Here is a 27,768-nt window from a genome sequence, read left to right on the forward strand (position 1 = left end):
TCAGTGTGATCACAGCTGCAAAGCAGAGAGGACCCTCCCTCAGCGGGCAGGCAGGCCGGGCAGGGGGCAGTGTAAGCAGGGGCGACCCCACGGTGGGCAGCTGACCCTCCTCTGTGCAGGAGCCTGGTTAAGGGGGCTGGGATGGGCAGGGAACAGGGCAGGCCAAGCCTCTGCTCTTCCATATGGTGGTGGGTGTCTGTGGAGGGGGCAGACAGAGGGGTCAACAGCTGGTTACCTAGTGGCCGTGACCTGCAGGGGTGGAGGGAGGGCAGGCAGGGCGGCCAGGAGGAGGGGAGCTGCAGTGGCCTCAGGGCAGGGTCAGGACAAAGGCATGCCAGGGCTCCAGACACCGGTGGAGGCGGGTGCTGGGGGACCCAAGGCTTGGGAACCGGCCCGGGGCGGTCAGCCAGTGAACAGGCTCTCAGGGTCAGGACACAGATGACCGAGGGTCAGAGCCAGGCCTTGTGGTCTCCTTCTCAGGGACAGGACACAGAGGACCCAGGGCCAGAACCAGGCTTCGTGGCCTCCTTGCCTGCCCCAGAGGTGGGCCCGCCCATGCGAGTCAGGGGTCACAGGGCTGGGAACACAGAAAGTGGGGTGCAGGGGTGCTGCTGCCTGTGGACCCCCAAGGACCACTGCCTCGGGGCTGCAGGGCCACGGGTGGGCTGTGGCCTCCCCACCGGGTGACTCCCTTCCCTGACAGCCTTTCTGACGTCCCATCACTCTGCTTGCTTTCTAGAGCCCTCCGGGACCTCGAGCCAGCACCTGGTCCCTTCACCTCCCAAGCACCCAAGGCCACGAGATTCTGGCAGCAGCTCCCCGCGGTGGTCGACAGACCTGCAGTCCAGGGGGCGTCGGCTCCGAGTCCTGGGCAGCTGGGGGCCTGGCCTGGGTGATGGGGTGGCTGCAGTGCCTGTCCTGAGAGCCCTGGAGGTGGCCTCACGCCTGAGCCCTCGAGCCCAGGGATGTCCTGGCCCAAAGCCAGCACCAGATGCAGCAGCTAGACCTCCCAGGGCAGCTGAACTCTCTCACCCCAGCCCCGTCCCCACTTAATATAGCCCCCACTGCCAGGCTTCCCTGTGCTGGGGCCACGACTTGCCCACATATGTGGTCACAGAGCACAGAATACCTGGGCGGGTGTGTTGGGGGGTGGAAGGAGTGCCTGGCCCTGGGGAGGACCCTCTTGGTGGAGGGGAGTGGGGGACTGGGACCAGCCAGGGAGGCAGCAGAGGCTGGAACCCAGTTTAGGCCCCCAACTGGGTTTGGCCTGGGGAGGGAGGGTCCGGCTCCCCAGCCCTTCCTTAGGGCCAGGCTTTCCCGCGGGCACGGGGGTGGGGGGTGGTCACCCGAGCAGGCCTGTGAGAGGCCTCTCCTGCTAGAATTGGGCATGGCCGAGGGGCAGGGGCTGGAGCTGCGAGTCCACCACTCCCTTGCCGGCCCCAGGGTAAGAGCCACCTCCTAGGCCGCAGTGGCCCAAGGTCCCAGCTGCTCGCCTGAGGCCGCCGGGGGTGCGGTCCAGGCCTCCCGTCTCCGGGGGATCTGTAGGGTTCCCGCACTGCGATAGGGCGGCCCGTTCCCTCCTCTTGGCGCAGGACGCCCCGGAACCCAAACCAACATTTCCAGCTCTCAGGTGTACAGAAATGCGGTTTACTTTGTAGGCCACGTTGGTTCAATAAATGATGCAGCGGACACAGCCCGCCCAGCCCCGGCGCCCGCCCGCGCCCTCCCTCGCGGTCCCGGCCCCACTCCTCCGCCCCTAGGCGCCGCGGCAGGTGTCCGCGGTGACCGGCAGGCAGCTGAGGAAGCGGAAGCCGAATCTGCTCTCCGCCGTGTTCTGCACCGACAGGGCCACCAGGGGGCAGCTACGGTCCACGCTCTTCCGGCACACCTGGGGGGCGCGGGGGCTGAGAGGCGCGCGGGGCGGGGCGGGGACGGGAGGGGAGGGGAGGGGAGGAGAGGGGAGGGGCGGGGAGGAGAGCGGAGGGGAGGGGACGAGGAGACAGAGGGGAGGGAGGGGCGGGAGAGGAGAGGAGGAGAACGAGGAGGGAGAGGAGGGGGCGCACCCGCAAGCGCGCACTCACCCGAACTCGGTGTTCTTTCTGGAGCCGACAGTCCTCCAGGCCCAGCCCGGCCTCTGCGGGAGGCGACGGCAGGGTGGGGTCACCCGGGATGGCGGGCAGGTGCTGCGGCGCGGGGATCTCGGGGTTCTCGGGCCGCGCAGGCCCCTCCCGCGCGTGGAAGAGCTTCCCCGAGCTCACTGGGGGCAGCAGGCCCCGCGTCCTGGTGGGGCGAGGGTCGTGAGGGCGGCGGCCGGCCCGGGAAAGGCGGCCCTAGAGGGCTCCGCGCCTGGGGCGGGGCAGGGGCCGCGGGGCGTACTGGAGGACCAGGGGGCGGCCGGGGCGGGGCCTGGGGAAGTAGGGGTCCGTCCTAGCGAGGGGATACGAGGGACCGTTTCTGCTGGGTCGGGGCCTGGGGAGGGAGGCCAGATCCCGGGGACCCGCGGTCCCCACCCTGGTCTCCGGCGACTGACCCGGGGCTCCCGCACCCGGCCTTTGCGCAGGGGTCGAGGTGGGCGCGGCGGCTTGCGGGTGTCGGCGCCGGGCCCGGCCTCAGGGAGCGGGAAGCGGTCGATGGACAAGTCGGTGCCGTCGGCGAAGACCCTCGGGGCCGGAGTCTCGCGGCGTGGGATCCGGTGCTCACTGAGGACCTGCGGGGCGCGTCGGTCACCCCCACACCCCAGCCCCGGCCGCCCCACCGGGGACCCGCACCGACCTCGCCCTTGGGGCTCAGGAGCAGCGTCGCGCAGCCGCGGATGGAGAGGAGGGGAACGGGCTCCCGGCTCGAGGACGCGCGCAGCGGCTTCTTGGCGCTGCGGGTCGCCTCGCCCCAGACCTGGAGGGGCGTGGAGCGGCGGGTGAGGGGCGGCCGGGCCGGGCCGTCGGGGCCGGGCTCCCGGGCCGGGGCGCACCGTGACGTGGTGCCGCGGGGCCAGCAGCGTGCCCGGCGGGAAGCGGTACAGGCGCTCCGGGAAGCCGCGCACCAGCTGCTTCAGCACCATGCCGCTCAGGTCGGCCGTGCTCTCCTGCGACGGGTTGAAGATGCGGACGAACTTCTCCCGGCAGCTCACAGCCACGATCTTCAGGCCTGTCGGGCTGGGAAGAGAGGAGACGCTGTGAGGAGATGCGGCCGGTCCACCCGCACAGCTGCGCGCCCCGCCCGGAAACCAGCTCCAGTCCGGCGCCGGAGGCTTGGGTCACTCGCCCCTTACCTCTGCAGGAGTTCCGGGCTCCAGTGGTCCGGGTCTGTGCAGGGCTGGGGCGACAGGACCGGCTCGCCGTGCCTGGGTGAGTGGGTTTTCTGGAGATCTAGAGAGAGCAGCGCTTTTGGGGAGGGGACCCTCGAATGGAGTCCCCACCGGATGTTCCCCGTGAGGTCAGAACAGGCCTGCAACGCCTGGCGGGGCAGGGAGCAGGGCCAGGGTCAGATGGGGCAGGAAAGGTGGCTGGACCTTGGGGGCTGGAGGGCCACCTCCAGGGCTCTGAGTGAGATCACAGCTCTGAGGGGGTGGAGGGTGGGTGAAGGGTAACCAGGGGAGACCCGCCCCACTGCACCTTCTGAGTCCCTGCTGTAGCTGCCGGCCTGCACCAGCGCTTGCTCGGAGGAAGCGCGGTGGTCCCGGGGCGGGTGCCCTATCACCTGCACGAAGGAAGGCAGGCCCGGCCGGCAGCTGCTGGAGTCGGAGTCAGCGCCCCCTGAGCTGCTGGTGTTCAGACAGGGCAGGGAGCCCCACTCCACGGTCTTGTGATGCCGCTCGGAATGCTTTCCAGAGGACTCTGGGCTCCCTGTGTCCAGCTGTGGCCAGGGCCGGGGCTGCCTGTGGACCACGCTCTGCTTGATGGCCACTCCAGCTCCAGACCCCAGCCCTGCCCCCGTCCAGCCTCACAAGGCAGTGCAGCAGGGAGCCCCTCTTGCCTCCCAGTACCCAGGCTCAGTTCATGGCAGGACAGTGATGGCTGCCTCAACCCCAACGCATTCTACAGATCAGAGAACGCGCATTGGAAGGTTTAAGAGACTTATCCAGGGACACTAAATGGTCCTTTAGTGTCCTGCGTCTTCACTTGCCAAGGTGAGCCCTCCCTTCTGGCCCCTGGGGAGTCCCTGCTCTGTGCAGTTACTTTTGCTTTGAGCTGGGCTCCATGTTGGTGAAGAGGTTGGGATACCGGCGGGCAACGCTGTTCCAATCCACGTCCTCCAGCCGAAAGCCCTGGCCAGGAAGCAAGAGGCACATGGTCCTCCCCTCCCGCAGGGCTCCAGATACCAGACCACACACGTGGGAGGCCTAGCTCACCTCCCCGGTGGGGGCCTGAATGTTTTCAGAGAGGTCGCTTGGGTCCATCAGAGTCTCTGCCGTCACTACCTGCAAGAGGGGACCGGAAGCCAGTGGGCAGGGGCTGGGTGCTCCCCTACAGCACCTCTCCTCTTTGACCTCACCTGTGCTTTGAGGCCTCCTGATTCCTCCCTGCTGGAGCCCAGAGTTCCAGAGGCACCTGAGCAGGGCAGGCTTCCAGGCAGGCCAGGGCGCCCCAGCAGAGGCACCCGACGAGATGGGGAGGGCTGGGGAGGGCAGCCTGGGGCAGGAGGGCTTGGGGGACAGGCTCACCTCCACACTGCCAGTCTGGGATCGTAGCATGCGGCCCACCCACGAGGAGCGGGCCAGCTGCAGGAGGCAGGACTTCTGCAAGTTCTGCAGCTCGGCCTCCATCTCCTGGAGCGTGCGGGTGGTCTGCAGCAGCCGCTCCTCCAGGTGCTCCTTCTCCTGCTCCGAGAGGGCCTGTGGTTGGTGGTGGGGGGGTGTCTTCTGCAGAAGGCCCCCAGGCCAGCCCCAGCCTGGCTCCCCAACACCAGGACCCTGCCCACTCCCTGTGCCCCTGCCTCACCCACTGGGCTCGCTCCTTCTGTTCCTTCAACTCCTGGATCAGCTTCTGGACCTGGTTCTGCAGGAGTTTCTCCTGACTGTGGGAGCTCCTGGAGGAGGGGTGACCTCAGCAGCCCCCACCCTGCTCAGGCAGGGGTTCCTAATGTCAGGTCAGTGGCGAAGGAGGGGAGAAGGAGGGGCTCCACTGCCACCTTGGCCCCAAGGGCACACAGTACAGCCCCGCTGGGGCTGGCCAGCCTCCGGCTGGTCTGGACAAGGGTCTAGCACCCATCCACATGCGCAGGGTTAGGGTGGAGGCTATAGCGTGTTAACTTAGGATCAGGGTGGAGGGTCAGCGCGGGCAAGGATGAGGGTAAGGATCTGCCTCAGCGGTTGGGGTTGGGGTCAGACAGAAACCAGGAGTCCGGGCGAGGACAGGGCGGGGTTGGGTTGGGCTGGGGACTGTGCTGCAGACCTCTTGGGCGGAAGCCCCGCCACCTCTTCCAGGATGTGGCAGAGCCGGGCGTCCTCGCCATTCTGGATGGCCCACCGCAAGGCCTGGATCTCCAGTTCTCGCTGTCTCCACAGCAGCCGCAGTGTGCGAGGGTCCAGGGACTCAAGAGCCAACCTGCAGCGGCAGCAGACCCTGCTGCTTACTCAGGCCGGCCCCTGGCCACCTGGCCCAGGAGGCTCACCAGTCCTCCCTCTCCTCCTTACTGCGGGTCGGCAGAGCAGACCACCGGTGCGGGGTGGGGCGTGGTGTCTGGCAGGCACGTGGGAGTCTCGGGGGCTGCAGGTGCGCCTGCTGGAGGTCCCAGGTGACCACTGACCGACTCTTGCTCTGTGGGGGACAGGAGAGCCTCTTCCTCGGTTTCTTCAACCTCCTGGCCAGACTTGGGGGCCATTCTCAATGTTCTTCGGGAGCTGGGAGGGGTGGGGGGCCCGTCTGCCGTGTGCGCCTCGTGTGGCCACACAGGTTGGAGCAGCCCAGGCGTCACCACTTACTCACAGAGCGTTGCTCTCTGAAGGGACCCACATGTGGGTGTCCACACCCGTGTGTTTCTGACCAGGCTGGCGCAGCAGGTCACCACCCGACATGTCCCTGGCGTGTACCCCTGCCACCCAGGTGCTGGCCCTTTGCCTGTGATGTGGTGTCCCTCTTTCTCTCTCTTGTCCCCCCAGCTCAGGGCCCTACCCCCAGCACTCACCTGAGGCCCGACCTCCAAGCAGGCCTGGGAGGGAAGGGCTGTATACCGTTGCCATGGATACCAGCACCCAGAAGGGGTGGGGCTGTTTGTTACCAGGAGCCTCCAGGGAGACCCCAGACCAGGCCCCTAGGTGAGTTCTGGGCCAGCCCAGCCTGGAGGAGGTGTGAGAGGCTGAGCCACTGCTCAGCTTAGCGGGGGGACCACTTAGTGACCAACACCCTGAGGGAGGCCCCAGCATCCCCTACCTAGCCTGGCAGCAGCAGCGGGATAAATAGGGGGGCACTGCTGCCTGTGAGCCAGCCCAGCATAGCCATGGGTGTGTGGGGGAAGCAGACAGGTAACAGTGACAAGCTGGGGACTGTGCTGAACGCTAACTGGCAATAGTACACTCCTGCCCACAGCCTGTTTTTAAATTAATAATTAATTCTTTAGAGACAGGGTCTTGCTCCGCTGTCCAGGCTGGAATGCTTCGGTGTGATGACAGCGCACGTTAACCTCGAATTCCTGGGCTCAGGTGATCCTCCCACTTCCGCCTCCTGACTTGCTGAAACTACAGGCACCCGCCTCCACCGCCAGGCCCAGCCCACAGCTCCTTTGACCTCAGTGACAGGCACTCACCTACCTGACCCCCAAACTGAAGCCTCACTTTTCCCAGCCGTGTCCACACCCTCTGGGCTACCCCATTACCATGACAAGTATTCCCTCTGCTCCAGGAGAAAAGCCAGGTCCCAGACCTGACCCATTAAAACCCAATCATTCCAGCTTTCACCCTTCATCTCTGCAACTTTCGGCTATGTAAGGGCTCCCTGGGGGAGCACAGGAGACAGGCGGGCAGGAGGCCCACGCCCACAACTCTTTCTGAGCTGGGCAGAACAATCAATGGCCCACACAGCTGACCGCGAGGCTGCGGGGCCCTGGGCGGGACAGTAGGGTAGGGGGTGAAGGAGCGGCTTCCAGCCAGCTTCACTGTGTGCATGGCCTGGCACTGGGTCCAAAAGGGGCAGGAAGGTGTCGGAGAAGAGCCTCAGCTAGAGTCCGGGCCTTCTGAGCGGGCACCTCCCGCACCAGGACTCTGCGCCCGCCAGCTCCGCAGGGCTCCACCTCCCTCGCCGGGACTGGTGACCCTGCGACCCCGCGACCCCTGCGCGTCCAGACTACTGCAGCTGCGGTAGGCCCCAAAGGCTGGCCCGGGAAGCGAGGGGAGGGGCTGGCCCCGCTGCCCCTGGACGCAGGCGGGGGTTGCGGGATCTCAAGCCAGAGACCCTTCCTGGGCGGGAACCCGCCACACTAGAAGGCTGCTGAGGAAGTCGGCCCAGGAGCGGGGCCAGACACCTACCCCGACGCCTGCCCGCGGGCCGCAGCCACCGCATTTCCGCGTTTTTCGCGGTAGGCGGGAGGTGGGGGCGGGGACTGCGGCTCGGCGCCCCCCTCCGACCCGCCCACACCTGTAGTCTCGGGGGGGGCGGGGCGCGGCGACGAGCCAATGGGTCGGGGAGGGGCGTGACAGAGGCAGCCAATGGGCGCGGGGAGGGGGCGGAACGCCCGCGCTGAGCAGCCAATAGGGGTGCTAGGGGCGGGGCGTGCGGACCGCGGGCCAATGGGGGCGCGGGGCCCGGGTGCGCCGCGGCGCTGGGGGCGGCAGGTTGCGGCGGCGCCGGAGCGGGTCTCCAGGCTGGCGAGCGCCCAGGTGAGCCGCGCCGGGTCCCCGGTACTTGGGAGCGCGGGGCGCGCCTCGAGCCGGCCGGACGCCGACTCCAACTGGGGAGAGTTTTCCGCGATGCCCGGACGGAGAGCGGGGGCGGCGCCGCACCTGCGCCCGCCCTGCGGAACGGGGACGCCCTGGCTCCCGCCAGGCTGGGGTCGCGGCGCGGGCTTCGGTGCCCGCGGCGGGGACCGGGACTTTCGGGGCGAGCGCAGCGATTAGGCGGCAGCGGCGGGGCTCCCCGGGCTGGCGGGGGCTGCTCAGACCCGGAGTCTGCTCCATCTGCAGGGTCGAGGTCTGGGTTGCGACCCCGAGCGCCTCTGCGGCCTGAGCAGGTCGGGGTGGGGCGTTCCCATGCCGGCGGCCGCGGGGCCTGGCGTGCGGGCGCCTCCGCGCCGCCCGGGGAGGGGGCAGTGTCCTCCGAGCCAGGTGAGGCGAGTAGGAAATGCTGGATCTGGTTAATGATTCGCCTTGTTCCGGGAGTGCGAGCGTGGCAAGAGGAAGCTGGTGAAGTGGGGGAGGATGCGTGCTCCGGAGGGCCGCCACCCCAGGAATGTGTGGCTGGCGGGTGGGGCTGGCACAGGAGGGTGGGGCCCGTGCGGAGGGGCGGCAGCCCAGCCGTTTCTAGGGCAGGCCAAGAGGATGAGGAGAGGAGGACCAGCCTGCGATAGGAGTAGGCAGGTCCTGACCCGGTGCCTGCGCCCTCCCCACAGGACAGGCATGTTGTTGGGACTGGCGGCCATGGAGCTGAAGGTGTGGGTGGATGGCATCCAGCGTGTGGTCTGTGGGGTCTCAGAGCAGACCACCTGCCAGGAAGTGGTCATCGCACTAGCCCAAGCAATAGGTGAGTCCTCTCGGGGTCAGGCAGGCCGGGCAGGTAGAGCTGAAGTGGGACCTGGTGGTCCAGCTCCATGGTCTCCCCCAAGGAGAGTGGGGCTGGTTGCTGATCCTTTTTGTTCTTCCCAACTCTTCAAGCCAGGTGGACAGAGAGTCGGGGGGACATAGGCTGACCTTCTCCTCTTCTTCCCAGGCCAGACTGGCCGCTTTGTGCTTGTGCAGCGGCTTCGGGAGAAGGAGCGGCAGTTGCTGCCACAAGAGTGTCCAGTGGGCGCCCAGGCCACCTGCGGACAGTTTGCCAGCGATGTCCAGTTTGTCCTGAGGCGCACAGGGCCCAGCCTAGCTGGGAGGCCCTCCTCAGACAGCTGTCCACCCCCGGAACGCTGCCTAATTCGTGCCAGCCTCCCTGTAAAGCCACGGGCTGCGCTGGGCTGTGAGCCCCGCAAAACACTGACCCCCGAGCCAGCCCCCAGCCTCTCACGCCCTGGGCCTGCGGCCCCTGTGACACCCACACCAGGCTGCTGCACAGACCTGCGGGGCCTGGAGCTCAGGGTGCAGAGGAATGCTGAGGAGCTGGGCCATGAGGCCTTCTGGGAGCAAGAGCTGCGCCGGGAGCAGGCCCGGGAGCGAGAGGGACAGGCACGCCTGCAGGCACTAAGTGCGGCCACTGCTGAGCATGCCGCCCGGCTGCAGGCCCTGGACGCTCAGGCCCGTGCCCTGGAGGCTGAGCTGCAGCTGGCAGCGGAGGCCCCTGGGCCCCCCTCACCTATGGCATCTGCCACTGAGCGCCTGCACCAGGACCTGGCTGTTCAGGAGCGGCAGAGTGCGGAGGTGCAGGGCAGCCTGGCTCTGGTGAGCCGGGCCCTGGAGGCAGCAGAGCGAGCCTTGCAGGTGAGCCCGGGGACCTGATCCCCTGTCACTCCCCCACCCCTGATATGGGCAGATACGGGGATCACAGGGTCCCACTCGGGAGGCAGGTGAGCCCGGGGACCTGATCCCCTGTCACTCCCCCACCCCTGACGTGGGCAGATATGGGGGTCACAGGGTCTGACTCGGGAGGCAGGTGAGCCCGCGGACCTGATCCCCTGTCACTCCCCCACCCCTGACGTGGGCAGATACGGGGGTCACAGGGTCCCACTCGGGAGGCAGGTGAGCCCGGGGACCTGATCCCCTGTCACTCCCCAACCCCTGACGTGGGCAGATATGGGGGTCACAGGGCCCGACCAGGGAAAGTGCTCCCTCCGGAGCACAAGGGCTGTGGAGCCCAGTGGCTGTGCCTCCTAAGGATCTCATGTGTCCCCAGGCTCAGGCTCAGGAGCTGGAGGAGCTGAACCGAGAGCTCCGTCAGTGCAACCTGCAGCAGTTCATCCAGCAGACCGGGGCTGCGCTGCCACCGCCCCCACGGCCTGACAGGGGCCCTCCTGGCACTCAGGTCGGAGTGGTTCTGGGGGGAGGCTGGGAGGTGAGGACCTGGCCCAGCCCCACTCCAAGCTGACTTCCCAACCCACAGGGCCCTCTGCCTCCAGCCAGAGAGGAGTCCCTCCTGGGCGCTCCCTCTGAGTCCCATGCTGGTGCCCAGCCTAGGCCCCGAGGGTATGTCTGTGCCCCACCTCCCCCTGGGGCACCGGGCCCTCCTGTGGCTGCAGCCACCTCAGCCTGTGTCCTCCCGCAGTGGCCCCCATGACGCAGAACTCCTGGAGGTAGCAGCAGCTCCTGCCCCAGAGTGGTGTCCTCTGGCAGCCCAGCCCCAGGCTCTGTGACAGCCTAGTGAGGGCTGCAAGACCATCCTGCCCGGACCACAGAAGGAGAGTTGGCGGTCACAGAGGGCTCCTCTGCCAGGCAGTGGGAAGCCCTGGGTTTGGCCTCAGGAGCTGGGGGTGCAGTGGGGGACTGCCCTAGTCCTTGCCAGGTCGCCAGCACCCTGGAGAAGCATGGGGCGTAGCCAGCTCGGAACTTGCCAGGCCCCAAAGGCCACGACTGCCTGTTGGGGACAGGAGATGCATGGACAGTGTGCTCAAGCTGTGGGCATGTGCTTGCCTGCGGGAGAGGTCCTTCACTGTGTGTACACAGCAAGAGCATGTGTGTGCCACTTCCCCTACCCCAACGTGAAAACCTCAATAAACTGCCCGAAGCAGCTTGAGTGTGTGTGGAGGCTGCGCTGGGCAGGGTCTGAGGTCTTGAACTTGAGCCTCCATGGGGTGCCACTGAGCAGTACCCTGACACACCTGGGGCTCACCACAGCTGGAGTATCTGAGAATAGGATCCCTCAGGGTGCTCAGTAGGGCCCAGGGCTGGGGCTTCCTGAGCTCCACATTCCATCTGCTCTGCCTCACCTAACCCCAGGGGCTCTCCTGTGAGGGCCCCAGCCTGGTGGGCCTGCTGGTTCAGCCTGGCCTGACTGTCCCAGGCATTTGTCTGGACCCCCTCCCACCTGACTCTCTGTCATGTTGCCTGTGCCCCGCCAGCAGCGGGAACTGAGGACGTCAGGACAAGCTAGACCCGCCCGTCAGGTTTACTGAGAACTTGTGGGGGTGGATCCCACACTCAGGTCAGCCAGTCCCAGGCTGCTTCACCACCCCAGGGAGGGTATGGGTACCAGTGGGCAGGGGCTGCCTCCTCTTCTCCAGGTGGGTGTGAAATGTCTGCTCTGAGCTTGCAGCTTTGAAATCAGGGCAGGGGCCAGGCATGGTGGCTCACGCCTGTAATCCCAGCACTTTGGGAAGCTGAGGCAGGCGGATCACCTGAGGTCAGGAGTTTGAGACCAGCCTGGCCAACATGATGAAACCCCGTCTCTACTAAAAATACAAAAAATTGGCCGGGCGTGGTGGAGGGTGCTTGTAGTTCCAGCTACTCGGGAGGCTGAGGCAGGAGAATGGCGTGAACCCGGGGGGCGGAGTTTGCAGTGAGCCGAGATCGCGCCACTGTGCTCCAGCCTGGGCAACAAAGCAAGACTCTGTCAAAAAAAAAAAAAAACAAAACCGGGTGTGGTGGCATGCACCTGTAATCCCAGTTACTTGGGAGGCTGAGGCAGGAGAATTAGTTGAACCTGGGAGGCAGAGGTTGCAGTGAGCTAAGATCACTCCACTGCACTCCAGCCTTAGTGACAGAGCAAGACTCTGTCTCCAAAATAAAAAAAAATTGTGTCCACAGCCCAGCCCCTGCCTGGGCCCTTGGGCTAGCTGTCACCTCTCCTGGTTCTAAGGGTAAGCCATACACTCCCAGCTCCAGGATCCATGGTTGGGGCTGGAGAAATCTTTTGTGTTGAGCAGAATGTGGAGGACCCCTATACCTGGGTACAGCCATGCATGGGAAGGCAGAGGATGGGGATGCCCTAGGTCAGGGGTGTCCAATCTTTTGGCTTCCCTGGGCCACATTGGAATACACTGAGGCCATACATGGGCCATACATGGAATACAGTAATGATAGCTGATAAGCTTTAAAAAAAAAATCGTAAAAAAAACTCACAATGTTGGCCAGGCACGGTGGCTCACACCTGTAATCCCAGCACTTTGGGAGGCCGAGGCGGGCAGATCACAAGGTCAGGAGATCAAGACCATCCTGGCTAACGTGGTGAAACCCCGTCTCTACTAAAAATACCAAAATTAGCCAGGCGTGTTGGCGGGCGCCTGTAGTCCCAGCTACTCGGGAGGCTGAGGCAGGAGACGAGCGTGAACCCAGGAGGCGGAGCTTGCAGTGAGCCGAGATTGGGCCACTAACTCCAGCCTGGGCGACAGATCGAGACTCTGTCTCAAAATAACAACAAAAAACAACTCACAATGTTTAAGAAAATTTATAGATTTGTGTTGGGCTGCATTCAAAGCTGTTCCATGGGCCAACAGTTGGACAAGTTTGCCCTAGATCATGGGGTCTTTGTGCTCTGAGAATGGGCGAGTTTGGGATGGACTCAGCTTTCTGTTGGTTGGCCCTGGATCTGGATCTGGTGCTGCCCCCTTTCTCTGGAGCACACAAAGGGAACAAGAAGGCCTGGACTTGGGCAAGGAAGCCATCCACAGGGCTCCCCAGAAGCCAGGGCCACCAGGAGCTCACTGCTGTGCAGAGGCAACTCGGCTTGGTTATTTCTTGCCTGAGGCAGGGAACAGGGAATGCAGGGAAGCCAGGCAGCAGCAGGAGGCTCCAAACGCTGGTGTCAGCAAGCCAGAACCCCCACCTGACTTCACTCCTGTCTGCCCAGCTCACAGTCGCCTGTCACTGGGAGGTCCTTGGGGCCTGGACCTGCCTGACCTGTGGCCCCAGAAGGGGCTAAGCCCAGAGTCACATGGGATGGAGCCTGGAATGCATAGGCCAAGTGGGTTGTGCCTGGGCAGCAGGCCTGGGATATGAGGGGCCTACTCCTCCATCCACAGCCCCGACCCACATTCTGGAGGGATGGTCGTACCTCTGTGACCAGCCCTCCACACCGTCACATAGGCCAGCAGGGGGCAATGCCAGGTGCCATCCAGAGCCCACCCCCATGTCCTCCCGGAGGTCATGAGCTCTGCCCTACGTACCCCAGCCCCACAATGGGAAGGAGGCATGGAGCTGGCAGAGCATGCGCCACGCCGTCCCTGTGTGTGTTTCTGAGGAACTCCTGTTCACTCTGAGGCCACTGCCTAGGTGCCCGTCCCTGGTCTGCTGCTGCTGGCTCTGATGAAGCTAACCAGCCTTCTTCCCCACCAAGAGGGTGTCCCAGCAGCAGCTATGGCTATGTTCCGGCGGGGGGAAGGCGGGGAGCCTTCCTCCTCACTGGCTGTTTCATTTTTTTATTTTTTTGAGGCAGAGTCTCTCGTCACCCAGGCTGGAGTGCAGCGGCGTAATCTCGTCTCGCTGCAACCTCCACCTCCCAGGTTCAAGCGATTCTCTTGCCTCAGCCTTCCAAGTAGCTGGGATTACAGGTGCCCACCACCATGCCTAGCTAATTTTTGTATTTTTAGTAGAGACGAGGTTTCACCATGTTGCCCAGGCTGGTCTTGAACTCCTGATCTCAAGTGAGCGATCACCCGCGTCTGCCTCCTGAAGTGTTGGGATTACGGGTGTGAGCCACCACACCCGGCCTCTCACTGGCTGTTTCAGGTGAACCAAATCCCATGGCCCCAAAAAGTGGCCAGAGTGCTTCAGATCACTCAGCAAACCTTTGAGTTGCTGAAAAGTTTACTTTTGAGTTTTAAACTGTACTTTGAAAACTATATTGTGAACTGTGTTGACATGAGGAAAGGCTGGGCTCCCTGAAAACATCCAGTTCCACAGCAGGGCGGGCCCAAGCCCAGCCAATCCCCAGGCAATGCAGGGCAGGGATCCCACCTGGTGTAAGTACGGGCAGAGGGCAGAGCCAGGCTGTATCGAGGGGCGGCGCTGGGACCCTCCTCGCCCAGAGTTCCTACTCATCCCCAGCACAGAAGTGCTCTGTAGGGCCAGCTGAGGACACCCCGGTTCACTGAGGGTGGCCCACAGTAAGTCGCCGTCTGGCAGTAAGTTAGCTCTGCAGGTGTGGACCCCAAGACCACACACAGCCTTTCTCAGGTGCAGGTCCTGCCAAGCCTCACTTCGCAGTGGTGACAGGCAACCCCGTCAGGGCAGGGAGCTTCCAAAGGCCAGTCCGAGTCCATGCCAGGCGTCCACTAAATCTGCCTCTCCCTCTCCAGCGAGCAGGTGCAGCCCTCAACTCCTGCAGGCCTGGGGAGCGGAGACAGGGCCTGTAGGCTCGGACACGACCCGGTCCTGATTTTAACAGTAGACTTGAGAAGGCAGGCTCAGCAGACAGGCTGCTGGAGGATCCACCCGCTGTCTCCCGCAGCGGCCCCACTGAAGCGGCAGAAACACACAGAAGCACCAAATCTGTCACTCTCTTCCCGTAGGAAGTCCCCAGAGGTGGCCCTCCGGAGGATGGTCCTGTTGGCTGAAGATATGACCACACCTGTGCCTGCCCAGGGCCACCTTCAGCTTGGCAACAGGAACTCCGCACACTGGTACCCTGGACACACAAGGAAAAGAAAGTTCCCTCCAAGAGGGTATCTGGCCCAGCCTCAGCCCCACCAAGCGGAGGGCAGCAAAGCCCCCGAATGATTTCGCTTACCCCCACCCGCCGTCCCTGCTGGCCAGACAGGCACACCCCGTCCATAGGGCACCCCCTCCCCACGGTATCCAGCTGCCCTCGCGTCCCCGTGTGGCCGCTCGCCTGCCCGCCAGACCCGGACACGGGGCCAGGAGGGTCGCGCTGCCCAGGCACAGATCAGCCGCTGTCACACGCACAGTGGGTCTGGGGCAGCGCAGTGTGCGGTGGGCAGGGGCTGCCCTGCGCCTGGAGGCACTGCCGGGTGGGCGGGCGGAGGGATTGACCCCACCCCCGTCCCCTCCAACTTGGGCGTCCGAGCCCCGCCGCGCCTGCCCAGCCCGACCCCCCGCAGCCCCCGCGGGAGGGCGGCCTCTGAGGGGCGCCCCGCCCGCCAACCTGGGATCCCTCGCGCGTCACCTGCGACCCCGGCGCGGGGCCGTCGCCGGCTCTCGGCCCAACTTCAGCTGCGGCCGCTGGCACCCTCTCGCCCCCCGGCCCGACCCGACCGGCCCCGGGCCCCGCGGCTCCACGCCCAGCCCCGTATGCAAATGACCTGGTCCCTCAGCCAATGGCCGGCCTAGCCGGGCCCGCCCTACCGCAACGCAGCCAGTGGGCGCGAGGGGGGTTCGCGACGCCCCGCCCACCGCCGCGCGGCCCTTCGCGGGCGAGGCCGGCGCGTTCTTTTCTGCACGTCTGCCCGGGGAGGGGCGGCACCTGCCGGGCGGGGCCTGCGGGGCGCCAGCTGCGAGGGCGCGGCGGGGCCAGGGCGCGTCCCCCGGCCGGGCGGATGGTACGGCCCGAGGTGGTCCTCCTCCCGCCGCGCGGTGGTATGGCCCGGGCTCGCGGGGCTTCCGGGCTGGGCGTGGGGCGCAGCCTGGCGACGGGTCCTCCGCCCGCGGGTGTGCGTGGGGCGGCAGGGCCGGCCGGGAGCTGCCCCTCTTCCCGCGGCGCGGTGGTACGACCCGGCCGCCTCCGTGCCCCGCACCCGCGTCCCGCGGGCCCGCCCCCCCCAACCCGCTGGGCGCCCGGCGCACGTATCCCGGGCCGTGACCCGGGTGGGGCCTGCGCGGGCCCGGACACGGCGTCCTCGGGACGCACGCACCACCCCCCGGGCGGCTTGGGGTCCCCAAAGGACGCCCGGGTCCGTCCTGCTGGCGAAGAGGGGGCTCTGGCTCTGCCTGGTTTGCCTGGCGACCCCCACGGGGCGCCCTTGGGGGCTCTGGGTCCCTCCTGCGCGCTCTGTCTCCGCGGAAGCCTCTGGAGCCTGGAGGGGGTGCCTCAAGGGCTCAGGGGTCTTCGCAGCCCTGTGCCGGTCTTTGAGGGGACGAGGCGAGAGAATCCTGTCTGTGCGCTGAAAACGTGTAAAATCAAAGGAGCCTTGACGGTTTGACCTTCGTTAGGACTCGCAGGGCCAGCTTCAGACGTGGAAGTATCGGACTCCGGGGTGGGGCTCCAAAGTGGCAGCCAAAGGAGATTTGGCCGCCGGCCCCCCTTGGCACTGTCACCCTGGTCCTCGGCCCCGGGCCGTCTCCCCTCAGCTCCCTGGCCCTAAACTCACCGCCCTGCTCTTTGTCCTCCCCTGGCCCCATGACCTCCCTGCCTCGGCATCCGCGCAGGCCTGGGCCGCAGCCTGCCCCCTGCCCCAGCCCCGGCGGCAAAGTGCTGGGGCCCCAGGGAGCTTCCGAACCAGCCCATGTCCTCAGGGGCTTGAAGGCTGGGGACAAAAATTCAGATGCAGAGTCTGGGGTGACTCAGACATGATCAGCAAGACATGACCGAGGTCTTGCTGACCCCTTGACCCTTGGCCCCCGATAGAACCGAGTGGCTCCTTGCACCTGTGGCTGCCTGTGGATGGGGAAGGTGCCCAGAGGATCACGGAGCCACTCGGTTCTATTGGGGGTCAGGGGTCAGCAAGACCTCGATCCTGTGGGTCGTGAAGGAGCCTCTAAGAGTCAGTGGGGTCCCTGAGAAGGCCCACGTCTTCATGGCAGGGCAGAGGCTCCTAGGGCAGTCAGACTAGGGGACAAGAAGGGGCAAGAGGACAGGGCAGCTCTGTGTTCCTGTCGTGCCCTGCTGACGTGAACCCACTTCTGCCCCCAGTCCTGCCAATTTCACAGGCACCTTTTCTCAGCATCTGTAGTGAGTGGGATGGTCCCTCCGCCAAAAAGAAGATATATCCACATCCTAATACCCAGGCTTCCTAAATGTGCCCTCATCGGGAGAAAGCATCTTTGCAGATGTCATTAAGGGAAACATCTTGAAACGAGATCATCCTGGACTTTCTGGGTGGGCCCTAAATCCAATGATCAGTGTCCTTATAAAAGACAGGGAAAACAGGCCGGGTGTGGTGGCTCAAGCCTGTAATCCCAGCACTCTGGGAGGCCGAGGTGGGCAGATCACCTGAGGCCAGGAGTTTGAGGCCAGCCTGGCCAACATAGTGAAACCCCATCTCTACTAAAAATACAAAAAAATCAGCCGGGCATGGTAGTGTGAGCTTGTAATCCCAGCTACTTGGGAGGCTGAGGCAGGAGAATCGCTTGAACCTGGGAGGTTGGCAGTGAGCTGAGATCACGCCACTGCACTCCAGCATGGGCAACAGAGTACGACTCTGTCTCAAACAGACAAACAAAAAACACAAAAAAAGAGAGAAGGCCGGGCGCGGTGGCTCATGCCTGTAATCCCAGCACTTTGGGAGGCCGAGGAGGGTGGATCACCTGAGATCAGGAGTTCGAGACCAGCCTGATCAACATGGAGAAACCCCGTCTCTACTAAAAATACAAAATTAGCCGGGCGTGGTGATGCATGCCCGTAATCCCAGCTACTCGGGAGGCTGAGACAGGAGAATCACTTGAACCTGGGAGGTGGAGGTTGAGGTGAGCCGAGATCGCGCCATTGCACTCCAGCCTGGGCAACAGAGCAAGACTCCGTCACAAAAAAAAAAAAAAAAAAAAGGCTGGGCGCGGTGGCTCACGCCTGTAATCCCAGCACTTTGGGAGGCCGAGGCAGGCGGATCACGAGGTCAGGAGATCGAGACCATCCTGGCTAACACAGCGAAACCCTGTCTCTACTAAAAATACAAAAAATTAGCCGGGCGAGGTGGCGGGCGCCTGTAGTCCCAGCTGCTCGGGAGGCTGAGGCAGGAGAATGGCGTGAACCCGGTGGGCGGAGCCTGCAGTGAGCAGAGATTGCACCACTGCACTCCAGTCTGGGCGACAGAGCAAAACTCTGTCTCAAAAAAAAAGGAGAGAAAGAGAAAAGAGACACAGACACAGAGGGAGGCCATAGGAAGCCATAGCCAAGGAACGCCTGGAGATGAAGCTGGGAGAAGAAGGACCTCCCCAGATCCTCAACAAGGAGGGTGGCCCTGCCAGCCTGGATCTCTGACTGCTGGCTTCCAGACTGAGAGAATGCCTTTCTGTTGTCTAAGGGCTCTGGTTTGTGGCCGTTTGATATGACAGCCCTGGGACACACAGACACCTGCCTTCCCTAGGTAGAGAATGCAGCCCTGCCTGTTCCCTCCCCCAGCTCTGAGAGTTTTGACTCCTTTGTTCTCTCCCCACCCACCTCCTCCAGCCACCCCTGCCCCTGCCTCCCCCAGGCATCCACCTGGCTCTGGGGCTCCCTGCTGCTGGGAGTGGGATGGGTCTCAGCAGGGGGCGATGACTGGGCTCATTGCCCACCAAGCCCTGTATGTGCACACGGACCTGATGGTGGGGTGGGGGGCAGGGGTGGGAAGGGGCTGGGCTAGGCCCTCCGGGATAAGCTGGCCTGGCGGGACAGAAGCAAGGGAGCTCCCAGCCCAGCTCCATCCTCCCGTGCACACCAGGAGCATGCACACCATGCTTGCGTCTGCAAGGGGCAGGGGCAGCACACGGCAGTGTCGACCAGGAATCTGGCCGGAGCCTCAGAGTACAGGTCTGTGTGAGGCTGTGTGGGCAGGATGCACATGTGTGCACACTGACACTAGCAGGTGATGGGGGTTGGGGGGTGACCCGTCAGTGTACGGGGGAGGTGACAGTACTGATGAGGGGGTTGTATACAGGAGGTGTCTGCCTGCTGGTGTGTGAGGCATCTATCCACGTGCGAGCAGGTAAGGAGTCATTTTATGTCAGGTGTGTGGGTAGCGGTGGGGGTGGGAGTCAGGAGGTATTGGTATGTGCCCCTGCTCTCATGCTCTCAAGTACCACCTATGCACAGTTTGGGCCTAGTTTGGCTCTGGGCAGCTGCCTGGAGATACTTCTCACACCTGAGCCTGAGTGCTGTCTGACATACCTGGGTTGGTTGTGCACTGACCAAGGATTATGCTCACTGAGGACGTCCTTCATGTCTCCATGTGGATGTCTGTGTTTATTTATTTTTTATTTTTTTGAGACGGAGTCTCGCTGTCGCCCAGGTTGGAGTGCAGTGGCGTGATCTCGGCACTGCAGGCTCCGCCCCCTGGGGGTTCACGCCATTCTCCTGCCTCAGCCTCCCGAGTAGCTGGGACTACAGGCGCCCGCCACCTCGCCCGGCTAATTTTTTGTATTTTTTTTTTTTAGTAGAGACAGTTAGCCAAGATGGTCTCGATCTCCTGACCTCGTGATCCGCCCGCCTCGGCCTCCCAAAGTGCTGGGATTACAGGCGTGAGCCACCGCACCTGGCGTTTATTTATTCATTTATTTATTTTTGAGACAGAGTCTCACTCTGTTGCCCAGGCTGGAGTGCAGTGGCGCGATCTTGGCTCACTGCAGCATCTGCCTCCCAGGTTCACGCCATTCTCCTGCCTCAGCCTCCCGAGTAGCTGGGACTACAGGCACGCGTAACCATGCCCAGGTAACTTTTGTAGTTTTAGTAGAGATGGGGTTTCACCGTGTTGGCCAGGTTGGTCTCCAACTCCTGACCTCAGGTAACCCTCCTGCCTCAGCCGAAAGTGCTGGATTACAGGTGTGAGCCACCATGCCCGGCTTTATTGTTTTTGAGACATGGTCTCACTCTGTCACCCAGGCTGCAGTGCAGTGGTGCCATCGCGGTTCACTGCAGCCTCAACCTCCTGGTCTCAAGCAATCCTCCCACCTCAGCCTCCCGAGTAGCTGGGACTACAGGTGTGCACTACCATGTCAGGCTAATTTTTTAAATTTTTTTGTAGAAAGGAAATCTCACCATGTTGCCCAGGTTGGAACTCCTGGGCTCAAGTGATCCTCCCGCTGTGGCCTGCCAAAGTGCTGGGATAACAGGGCAAGTGCCACCGTGCCTGGCCTGGGTGCATGTGTTTATTATGACAATTACCAGCAGCCCCCCAGGCATCCCGTCCTCCTTCCCAGGAGCCTCGGCGTGTCTGTGGATGCCCCTGCATCTAGTGTCCAGCAGGCAGGCACGTGGCACATGTAAAGGTAGGGGAGGTGCCTGGTGCAGGGCAGAGGGCGGTCCCGCAGCCCGCTGGCTGATCACACTGGACCCCACCTGAGGCGTACCTATCTCGTCCTCACAGTGACCTAAGAGGTAGGCCTGAGCACCCACATTCCTGTTTCACAGCCAAGGACACAGAGGCACACAGAGGTTGAGAAACAGACTGAAGTGCGTGAGTTCAGGTGGCTGGCCTGGGTGACTGCAGTGACACCCAGCCCCTCTGGCCCACCGAGAATAGATTGCTCCAGAGTCCTCCTCAGTCGTCGGCACCATCCACTCCTCCTTCCTGCAGGGGCATTTTCAGAACCCATAAGTGCCTGTTATTTCTCCCATTGCAAACAGAAAACTGTGGGCGAAAGATTACCTAGGTGCCGAAGCAAGAGACTGAAGGCACAAACTGTTTCAGTATAATAAAGAAAATAGAATAAGAATAGTCCTAATACGAATTAGATACAGAGATGATCATGGAAAATTATCAATCATTATTATAAATATTAGTCATTAGCTTTTAATATTACTCTTTGTGGCATTACTAATACAACCTAGGAATAACCGGCGGGTATAGGGTCAGGTGCTGAAGGGACGTTGTGAGAAGTGACCTAGAAGGCAAGAGGTGAGCCCTCTGTCACGCCAACATAAGGGCCGCTTGAGGGCTCCTTGGTCAAGCGGTAACGCCAGTGCCTGGGAAGGCACCCGTTACTTAGCCGACCGTGAAAGGGAGTCTCCTTTCCTTGGAGGAGTCAGGGAACACTCTGCTCCACCAGCTTCTTGTGGGAGGCTGGATATTCTCCAGGCCTGGCCTGCAGTCATCCGGAGGCCTAACCCCCTCCCTGTGGTGCTTGAATGATCACACTCCTTATCCACTTTCATGCTCCTCCCGTACTCCTGGCTCCTCTTTGAAGTTCGTAGTAGATAGCGGTAGAAGAAATAGTGAAAGTCTTAAAGTCTTTGATCGTTCTTCTAAGTGCAGAGAAGAAAATGCTGACATATGCTGCCTTCTCTCTTTGCTTCGGCTGCCTAAGAGGGAAGGGCCCCCTGTCCTATGATCACGTGACTTGCTTCACTTTATCACTTAGAAGATTCACCCTCCTTACCCTGCCCCCTTGTCTTGTATGCAATAAATATCAGCGCACCTAGGCGCTCAGGGCCACTACCGGTCTCCACGTCTTGATGGTAGTGGTCCCCCGGGGCCCAGCTGCTCTTTATCTCGTGTCTTTATTACAATCTCTGGTCTCTGCACACGGGGAGGACACCTGCTAAGCCCCCGTAGGGCTGGACCCTACAGAAAACCACACCCCTCTCTTGCCCTGCTCCTTAGTTACCTCCACCTTTACCTTCCCCTTTGCAGCAAATTGACCTGAAAGAGAAGTTGGTGTTCACAGCCCCTGCGTGCTCTCTGCTCACTCTCCAAACTCCAGCCCCTGGCCCCAGCGCCGCTGGCCCTCGGTGAGTCGCAGTGGCCCACCCTGCTGCACCCAGGCTCCCTCCCCCGCCTGTGTGTGCACGCCCTCTCTGGCTTCCAGAAGCCCCTCTCCTGGTTTGTCCTCCGGCCCCCACCCCTAGCACCCCCTGTGCCCCTTCCTAGTCTCCTTTGCAGATTCCAAACCTCTTCAAGTTGGAGTCCCAGAGTTCAGGCACTGGTCCCCAGTCACACCCCACATGCGATTCCCACATAGTTCTCTTCATCCAGTGCAGCCTCTGCCCACTGCATCTCCTCTGACACGTCCCATTCCCCCAAGGGCGCTAGATAAAGGGGCACCTGCGGACACACACGCTGAGGCTCCTGGGAAGGAGGACCGACCGCCTGTGTTCAGCTTAGAGCCCCCGACCTCCATCTGTCGCTGCTCCTCGGGGGCTGCTGGTAGTTGTCATAATAAACACAGACACCCACGATGAGACGTGAACACGCTCCTCAGTGAGCATTCTTGGGCAGTGCACAACCTCCCCAGCCATGCCAGCCCGCGCTCAGGCCTCCCCCGTCTTCCCCGTCTCTCCGGCGTCGGTTCTCAAGCTCGTCCTTCCCCGCCTCATTTCTCCAAAAGTCCGCAGCAAATCCTGGCAACTCCGCCTTCAGCATCTACCGGGAGCCGGCACTTCCCACACCTGCGCAGACCCACCCGGGCCCCAGCCCAGGCAGCCCCTGCACGGGGAGCCCGCGGGTCTCTGGCGCCCGCTCGGGACGCCTCCCCAGCGCTCCCCGCAGAGCGGCCAGGGGGTCTCGCGAGTCCGCGCCAGCTCGGGATCCCCGGAGCCTCCCCTGGTGCGCTGCAGCCACGCAGGCCTGCGTCCCGAGGCCCACACGGCTTCTGCGCGGCATCCTCAGGACGACCTGGAGCCAAATCCACACGGGACGGCACAGCAGCGTCCTGCCGAGCCCGCCTCGTCCGCCAGCGCGCACGATTCACCGCGCCTGCTGCGGGACGGGCGGACGCGGGGCTGGGCTGGAATAGCCGGCTCACGGAGGGCTCCGGCAGTGTTTGTTCAGAGGAGCGCGGCGCTGGTAGCAGGCGACGCCAGGACTCTTCTCCCCAGGTGCTCCCGCCGCGCGCGGGGCTAGGGAGGAGCTGCGGGCGGGGTTGCGGCGTGGGGGCGGGGCTGCGAGGGTGGGGGCGGGGCTGCGGAGCAGCGGGCGTGAGGCGGGGCTGCGAGGGAGGGGGCGGGGCCGTGGGCGGCCGTCCCGAGGCAGGGCGGGGCTGCAGACGTGGGGGCGGAGCTGCGGGCGCGAGGCGGGGCGGGGCTGCGGGGGTGGGGGCGGGGCTACGTGCGTGGGGGCGGGGTGGGGCTGCGGGCCCGAGGAGGGACGGGGCTGCGGGCGTGGGGGCGGAGCTGACGTACAGGAAGCAGCTCCCATTCGCTCTGGGCGGTGGGCGGAGATCCGGGCGGTACCAGCTGTCCCGGCCGCGGGGGGGACGGCCTGGACCAGCCCATGGTCGCGGGTTAAACAGTACGAGCTCTTCCAGGATATTGGTCTCCCCGGGCGGCAGTCCTGCATTAAAGAGTGTTTCCAAGGTGGAAGGGAGGCCGTTTGAACGCCTCGAGACCCCCGGCTGCAAGGAGTGGCACCTTCCTCACTTCAGTCATTTCTTTCCCGCTCTGGTCTCAGTGGTTCCAGTCAGCGAGCAGGACAGAGGAGCCCGGAAGAGGCGCCGTGCACTTCCGGGTCGAAGAGCGCACGGCGGCGGCAGAGGCGGCGGCGGCCGGGCCTAGGAGCGACTCTCGGTCGTGCAGCGGCGGCGAGCGCTCGCGAGCGGCTGCGGGACGCGAGGTTTCCGGGTAAGTGCGGCGGCCGCGCCGGCCCTGGGGGCCCTGCTCCTCCGGGCCGCGGGCCGCCTGTGGGCGCCACGCGCTTTGTCTGCGGCCTGCACCGCGGGGCGAGGCCTGCGCCGCGCTGGCCGCGGGCCGGGAGGGCGGGCGGGCGCGCGCGCGCTGGGAGGCCCCGCCGAGACTGGGAGGCCCCGCCGAGACTGGGAGGCCCCGCCGAGACTGGGAGGCCCCGCCGAGACTGGGAGGCCCCGCCGAGACTGGGAGGCCCCGCCGAGACTGGGAGGCCCCGCCGAGACTGGGAGGCCCCGCCGAGACTGGGAGGCCCCGCCGAGACTGGGAGGCCCGTGGCCTGCGGGCGGACGTCCTGGGCTTGCGAGGACGCGGCGAGAGCCCACTCGCCTCGCTCTGTGGCACCCACGCCCATGCCCCCTGCGAGTCCGCCCTGCCGCGTTTGGGAGAGAGCTGTGACTTCGTTGCCTTGTGTCCGGCCCCTGTGCATGGTTGCCGTCGTGGGCTTCTGGCCTTGTCTGCATGTCCACAGGCCTGTGTGGCTGGCGGTTTTCCTATTCCTTAACTCTTGCAGTCCTCACAAGAGCCTCTCAGGTGTAGGTATTGTTCCCGTTTTACAGAGGAGGGGATTGGAGCCCAGAAAGGCTAAGTAACTGGCCAGCGCCGGCAGCCGGGGATCCGCGCCAGCCCCGACTCCTACCATGCTCCTTTTGACGGGGCTTGTGTTGCCCCTTCTTCGGAGTTTATGTGCTTTACTTGTTTCGACAACAGCAGAACAGCAGTCAGCTGGGTGAACCACGTTCTGGCCAGTGGTCAATGGACAGGCTCTGAGGCCGAGCTGAGGTTTGACTTCGGGTTTGGCATAGTTGATCTCTCTCCTGGACCATCCGGTTTTCTTTCTTATTGGAAGAATGTTAAGTCAGAGTGCTAGTGGATGGATGGCACCTCAGCATCATGGCCATGACAAGCCTGGCCTTGGCCCTCAGCAGGGCTGTGTTTATCTCAGGCCCGCGGAGACCTTTGTGCGTGCCTGACTTTTTGACTTCCATTGCAGTTGACAATTTTGAGTTCTCCTAGCTGATACAGCAGATGGTGAATACAAGAATAAAAGTCGGCCTGAGTTGAGGTGTTGGACTTGGCTGCAGGCTTGTTCAGTGCCTGGGATGGGCACTCAGGTGCCGAGACTGGCGTGGAACGGGGTTGCAGGCACCCCGGACACCAGAGGCCCTTTTCATTCCTTAGTAACAGTTGGGACTGCCAATGCATTGGTTCCCCTGAATTTGAAAAGAGAGAGAAATAGCCTTTCCAGTTTTTTGTTTTCCTCTTTAATCCCCCAAATCTGGAGGCTAAGCAGGAGAGTCACAGTGGTTCCTCCACCCCAGAGCTCTGCTAGCCCAGCCAAAGGTGGCCAGCAGCTGGGAAGGGCTGTGGTCTTTTCTGCAGAAATGGCTTCCTGGCCTGTGGCCTGGGACATGGCAGAGGTGGGTATGGGGAAGGGAAGATTTGTTGGAGTTGGGGCTGCTGGTGCAACCAGGAGGTCCTAAGCTAGGGGCTCCCATTAACCCAGCATCCTAACTACAGGTCCTGGTGGTCCCAAACAGGTCTTGTGCCTGGTGCTTGTGCCAGAGGGTACCTGCGGAGGCTTCCTGGGTTATTTTGTGTTCTCTGGCAAAATAGCCCCTGGTTACTTTTGTGTGATATCGAGGAAGGATGTTGTTCAGCCTCACGTAACCTGAACGTTCCTGCTGCTGTGGTGGAGGAGTGTAAGAGGCCCGTGGAGTCTTCCCTCACCAGCTGTGGTAAAGTTCAAAGGCCTCAGGACTTAGCCCCACAGGTGCATGGACTCGCAAAGTTCAGCCTCATTCCTGAGCTGGTATTTCTGGCCAGCTCCTATGTGCCAAACCCCACACGGCCTCACTGATCTCTTCTGGCAGCCCTGGGGCAAGCCCTGCCATTGCCTGTCGCCCCACCTAACCCTTGGAGGTGGTCCCCAATCTCAGTGCATCAAGGGAGAGGCCAGGAGCTGTTTGTTCACATACTATGGCTCACTGCAGCCTCGAACTCCTGAGCTGAAGTGATCTTTGCACCTCAGACTCCCGAGCAGCTGGGACTACAGGCGGTTTCCACCACACCTACCTGGTTTTTAACGGTTTTGCCATGTTGCCCAGGCTGGTCTCATAACTTGCAGGCTCAAGTGATCTGCCTGCCTCAGCCTCCCAAAGTGCTGGGATTACAAGCATGAGCCACCACGCCCGGCTGATTCACATTTTTTTTTTTGAGACTGAGTCTCACTCTGTCGCCCAGTGGCATGTAGTGGCGCGATCTCAGCTCACTGCAACCTCCGCCTGCCAGGTTCAAGCAATTCTCCTCCGGAGTAGCTGGGACTACAGGTGCACGCCGCCATGCCCGGCTCATTTTTTCTATTTTAGTAGAGATGGGGTTTCACTGTGTTGCCTAGGCTGGTCTTGAACTACGGAGCTCAGGCCGTCTGCCCACCTTGGTCTCCCAAAGTGCTAGGATGACAGGCGTGAGCCACTGCACCTGGCTACCAATTCACATTTTTTACTTTCTATGTGAAATTCATCATCAAATGAGGATTTGCACTCGGGACAGTTGGACCCTGGGACTCCCCCAGCCCTGCTCCTCCCCCCAGCCCTGCTCCTCCCCCCAGCCCTGCTCTGTTATCTCTTAGGTGGTCTCTTTGAAGTGTTCCTTGGTAGATTCATGTGAGAGAGTCTGCCTCCCTCTTTCAGATATGTTTCTCCAGGGCAGGGACTGCATTCGCCTTGTGCTGCACAAAGTAGGAGCAGGGTAGGTGTTGGAGCAGGCGTCCTGGAAGATGTGGGGTCTGTTGTCAGGGTGGTCACAGCTATTGCCAGGGAGTTAAGGTCCTCTTATCTGAGAGCTGTGGTCACTGCTAGGTCTCAGTGCATGCTGTGGGAGAGGGGTCACCCTCCTGGATGGGCCGTGGCCCTCGTGTGTCTCTCAGAGCCAGTGTCTCTAGGATTCAGGTGCGGGACGAGCAGGGCGTCTCTGCGGAGTTGCTGGGTCCACCAAGCACCAGGGGTGCAGACTGCCTTGAGCGGGGATCATGACCAGGTGTTTTCACCTTAGGGTGGCAGGTAGAAGAAAGGTTAATTACTAATTTGGCAAAACTACTTCTACAATCGCTGTTTCCAGGCAGTAGTAAGATTTGGCAGTTGACAGTTGGATGGAGTTGACATTCTTCACTGTTTTATAAGGCATCATCTTAGAATCTAGGGTTTTGCACTGTCTTGTCAGATGGGAAGTGAGGCCGTCCTGGTTTCTGAGCCCCGTTAGGGTTTGTTGTCCAGGGGTTTCCAGACAGCAGTGGCGCTGACAGCCACTTTCCCCCGTTGCTGTGGTACATGTGCAGCCCACAGTGGTGGTGGGAGCTGAGCTCCAATGCAAGGAGGCCCTGAACTCGAGGGCAGCTCTGGCCCCCTACTTCCTGGCCTCTTGTGCGATGCGCTTTCCTCTGATCATGGATGGAGGTTGGACTTGGTGGGAAACAGAGTGCTGCAGGGCCGGCTTCACTGCCTCGCTGGATTCCTGACTCACTCTCCTAGGACAGGCCTTTCCTCCGAGAGTCGCCTGGGAAACAAGGTCAATAGCACTGATGAGAAATGAACCACGTGCACGTATCTCCTTTCTTATCTGGGACCAAAGTTTGAGGCCCTGGTGTGGAAGGAGGAGCGTGTCCAACTAGATTTCCCAAGGCTTTGTACGGGATCCTGTGTGGTTTCACAGTGACCTTGCAGAGTGGGAAGGGCAGGGGTCCCGGCTGACGGGTCAGGGCCTTGAGCAAGTGGTCTTGGGAGCCGAGGGGTGGGCCTGGCCTCTGTGCCTTCTGCCTCCTCAGCTCTGGGTACCACTGGGGACTCAGCAGCACCCTGGTGGATGGGGTTGGGGTGCGGTCAGAGGAGCCTCCAGGCATCCCAACAGTGGCCAGCCTTGGCAGGGAGAGCACCCTACGTGTCACTGAGGCCCCTCTTGTGCCCAGCTGATAAAGCCCGGCTCTGCCTCAGCTCAGGATGAGGCCGTTTTGTTCGTATATGGTGTTGCGATTCCTCAGGAGCATTGCAGTTTTTTGAGATGGAGTTTTGCTCTTATTGCGCAGGCTGGAGTGCAGTGGCGCGATCTCGGCTCACTGCAACCTCCGCCTCTCAGGTGCAAGCGATTCTCCTGCCTCAGCTTCCCGAGTAGCTGGGATTACAGGCGCCCGCCACCACGCCTGGCTAATTTTTGTATTTTTAGTAGAGACGGGGTTTCATCATGCTGGCCAGGCTGGTCTCAAACTCCCGACCTCAGGTGATCCGCCTGCCTCGGCCTCTCAAAGTGCTGGGGTTACAGGCGTGAGCAGCTATGCCTGGCCTAA

General features: G+C 62.8%; 5 protein-coding genes, 3 long non-coding RNA genes and 1 other non-coding gene across 43 annotated transcripts in view, besides 5 other annotated features; 5 read left to right on the forward strand and 4 right to left on the reverse strand.

The window, feature by feature from the left end:
* LRRC56 (leucine rich repeat containing 56) overlaps window positions 1-1,689 on the forward strand; it is a 48,451-nt gene extending 46,762 nt beyond the window's left edge. For all 12 annotated transcript variants that reach the window (XM_047426336.1, XM_017017167.2, XM_011519875.3 and 9 more), the window contains one exon: window positions 740-1,689. In XM_047426336.1, the coding sequence (XP_047282292.1) occupies window positions 740-1,053 (314 nt within the window). In that variant the 3' untranslated portion in view covers window positions 1,054-1,689. The remainder of the gene's footprint in view (window positions 1-739) is intronic.
* Window positions 1,627-7,515, reverse strand: LMNTD2 (lamin tail domain containing 2). Of its 7 annotated transcripts, none has more exons than NM_173573.3 (14): window positions 7,460-7,515; window positions 5,633-5,756; window positions 5,391-5,543; window positions 4,938-5,025; window positions 4,661-4,816; window positions 4,349-4,417; window positions 4,176-4,264; window positions 3,612-3,874; window positions 3,269-3,365; window positions 2,969-3,152; window positions 2,773-2,892; window positions 2,511-2,707; window positions 2,082-2,280; window positions 1,627-1,888 (listed from the first exon to the last, which is right to left on the reverse strand). In NM_173573.3, exons 1-14 carry the CDS (start codon window positions 7,491-7,493, stop codon window positions 1,757-1,759), a joined length of 1,905 nt encoding a protein of 634 aa, NP_775844.2. In that variant the 5' UTR covers window positions 7,494-7,515; the 3' UTR covers window positions 1,627-1,756. The 7 variants fall into 7 exon arrangements, with proteins under 7 accessions (NP_775844.2, XP_047282669.1, XP_047282668.1 ...); XM_047426713.1 differs by having other exon boundaries at window positions 4,661-4,831; XM_047426712.1 differs by having other exon boundaries at window positions 6,124-7,515.
* Window positions 3,452-4,288: an enhancer, noted in NCBI's record as "H3K27ac-H3K4me1 hESC enhancer chr11:556675-557511 (GRCh37/hg19 assembly coordinates)". NCBI's record gives its function as "activates a minimal SCP1, AML or CMV promoter by ChIP-STARR-seq in primed H9 embryonic stem cells {active_cell/tissue: H9 hESC(primed)}" and the evidence as "EXISTENCE:reporter gene assay evidence [ECO:0000049][PMID:30033119]".
* LMNTD2-AS1 (LMNTD2 antisense RNA 1) lies at window positions 6,039-6,884 on the forward strand. Of its 2 annotated transcripts, none has more exons than NR_147607.1 (2): window positions 6,039-6,253; window positions 6,556-6,883. It is a non-coding gene; the product is annotated as an LMNTD2 antisense RNA 1 (long non-coding RNA). The 2 variants fall into 2 exon arrangements; NR_147608.1 differs by lacking the exon at window positions 6,039-6,253 and adding an exon at window positions 6,254-6,460 and having other exon boundaries at window positions 6,556-6,884.
* A 231-nt stretch (window positions 7,516-7,746) lies between the features above and the next one.
* RASSF7 (Ras association domain family member 7) lies at window positions 7,747-10,802 on the forward strand. 3 transcript variants are annotated; one of them, NM_003475.4, is made up of 6 exons: window positions 7,747-8,254; window positions 8,539-8,669; window positions 8,856-9,553; window positions 9,966-10,094; window positions 10,173-10,255; window positions 10,335-10,802. In NM_003475.4, exons 2-6 carry the CDS (start codon window positions 8,546-8,548, stop codon window positions 10,420-10,422), a joined length of 1,122 nt encoding a protein of 373 aa, NP_003466.1. In that variant the 5' UTR covers window positions 7,747-8,254; window positions 8,539-8,545; the 3' UTR covers window positions 10,423-10,802. The 3 variants fall into 3 exon arrangements, with proteins under 3 accessions (NP_003466.1, NP_001137466.1, NP_001137465.1); NM_001143994.2 differs by lacking the exon at window positions 10,173-10,255; NM_001143993.2 differs by having other exon boundaries at window positions 7,747-7,810; window positions 9,966-10,802.
* Window positions 8,550-9,125: an enhancer, noted in NCBI's record as "H3K27ac-H3K4me1 hESC enhancer chr11:561773-562348 (GRCh37/hg19 assembly coordinates)". NCBI's record gives its function as "activates a minimal SCP1, AML or CMV promoter by ChIP-STARR-seq in primed H9 embryonic stem cells {active_cell/tissue: H9 hESC(primed)}" and the evidence as "EXISTENCE:reporter gene assay evidence [ECO:0000049][PMID:30033119]".
* MIR210HG (MIR210 host gene) lies at window positions 12,434-15,234 on the reverse strand. The gene is made up of 2 exons (NR_038262.1): window positions 15,129-15,234; window positions 12,434-14,630 (listed from the first exon to the last, which is right to left on the reverse strand). It is a non-coding gene; the product is annotated as an MIR210 host gene (long non-coding RNA).
* Window positions 12,471-13,025: an enhancer, noted in NCBI's record as "H3K4me1 hESC enhancer chr11:565694-566248 (GRCh37/hg19 assembly coordinates)". NCBI's record gives its function as "activates a minimal SCP1, AML or CMV promoter by ChIP-STARR-seq in naive and primed H9 embryonic stem cells {active_cell/tissue: H9 hESC(naive and primed)}" and the evidence as "EXISTENCE:reporter gene assay evidence [ECO:0000049][PMID:30033119]".
* Window positions 13,026-13,580: an enhancer, noted in NCBI's record as "H3K4me1 hESC enhancer chr11:566249-566803 (GRCh37/hg19 assembly coordinates)". NCBI's record gives its function as "activates a minimal SCP1, AML or CMV promoter by ChIP-STARR-seq in naive H9 embryonic stem cells {active_cell/tissue: H9 hESC(naive)}" and the evidence as "EXISTENCE:reporter gene assay evidence [ECO:0000049][PMID:30033119]".
* Window positions 14,866-14,975, reverse strand: MIR210 (microRNA 210). Its single transcript, NR_029623.1, has one exon. It is a non-coding gene; the product is annotated as a microRNA 210 (primary transcript).
* Window positions 16,166-16,916: an enhancer, noted in NCBI's record as "H3K27ac-H3K4me1 hESC enhancer chr11:569389-570139 (GRCh37/hg19 assembly coordinates)". NCBI's record gives its function as "activates a minimal SCP1, AML or CMV promoter by ChIP-STARR-seq in naive H9 embryonic stem cells {active_cell/tissue: H9 hESC(naive)}" and the evidence as "EXISTENCE:reporter gene assay evidence [ECO:0000049][PMID:30033119]".
* On the forward strand, window positions 18,371-23,373 carry LOC124902805 (translation initiation factor IF-2-like). Its single transcript, XM_047428004.1, has 4 exons — window positions 18,371-18,421; window positions 21,515-21,542; window positions 21,994-22,628; window positions 23,200-23,373. The coding sequence occupies exons 1-4, from the start codon at window positions 18,371-18,373 to the stop codon at window positions 23,371-23,373; spliced, it is 888 nt and encodes a 295-aa protein (XP_047283960.1).
* LOC143666 (uncharacterized) lies at window positions 20,585-22,662 on the reverse strand. The gene has a single exon (NR_026967.1). It is a non-coding gene; the product is annotated as an uncharacterized LOC143666 (long non-coding RNA).
* Window positions 23,247-27,768, forward strand: part of PHRF1 (PHD and ring finger domains 1) — a 35,753-nt gene continuing 31,231 nt past the window's right edge. For all 15 annotated transcript variants that reach the window (NM_001286581.2, NM_020901.4, XM_011520236.4 and 12 more), the window contains exon 1: window positions 23,247-23,369. The gene's annotated coding sequence lies outside the window, so the exon portion shown is untranslated. The remainder of the gene's footprint in view (window positions 23,370-27,768) is intronic.

Source organism: Homo sapiens, chromosome 11 (genome assembly GCF_000001405.40).
Source record: "Homo sapiens chromosome 11, GRCh38.p14 Primary Assembly".
Taxonomy (NCBI): Eukaryota; Metazoa; Chordata; class Mammalia; order Primates; family Hominidae; genus Homo; species Homo sapiens.

Coding starts and splice junctions, on each gene's coding strand:
- LMNTD2 (XM_011519965.3), bottom strand. CDS start 6,361: ATGCTGGGGCCTCCCTCAGGGTGTTGGTCACTAAGTGGTCCCCCCGCT. Junction 4,832..4,937: donor AGAAGGAGCGAGCCCAGTGG/GTGAGGCAGGGG, acceptor CACCAACCACAG/GCCCTCTCGGAGCAGGAGAA. Junction 2,893..2,968: donor CCCCGCGGCACCACGTCACG/GTGCGCCCCGGC, acceptor ACGCCCCTCCAG/GTCTGGGGCGAGGCGACCCG.
- RASSF7 (NM_003475.4), top strand. CDS start 8,546: ATGTTGTTGGGACTGGCGGCCATGGAGCTGAAGGTGTGGGTGGATGGC. Junction 8,670..8,855: donor CGCACTAGCCCAAGCAATAG/GTGAGTCCTCTC, acceptor TCTTCTTCCCAG/GCCAGACTGGCCGCTTTGTG. Junction 9,554..9,965: donor CAGCAGAGCGAGCCTTGCAG/GTGAGCCCGGGG, acceptor ATGTGTCCCCAG/GCTCAGGCTCAGGAGCTGGA.
- LOC124902805 (XM_047428004.1), top strand. CDS start 18,371: ATGACTGGGCTCATTGCCCACCAAGCCCTGTATGTGCACACGGACCTG. Junction 18,422..21,514: donor ATGTGCACACGGACCTGATG/GTGGGGTGGGGG, acceptor TCCAAACTCCAG/CCCCTGGCCCCAGCGCCGCT. Junction 22,629..23,199: donor GCCAGGACTCTTCTCCCCAG/GTGCTCCCGCCG, acceptor CTCTGGTCTCAG/TGGTTCCAGTCAGCGAGCAG.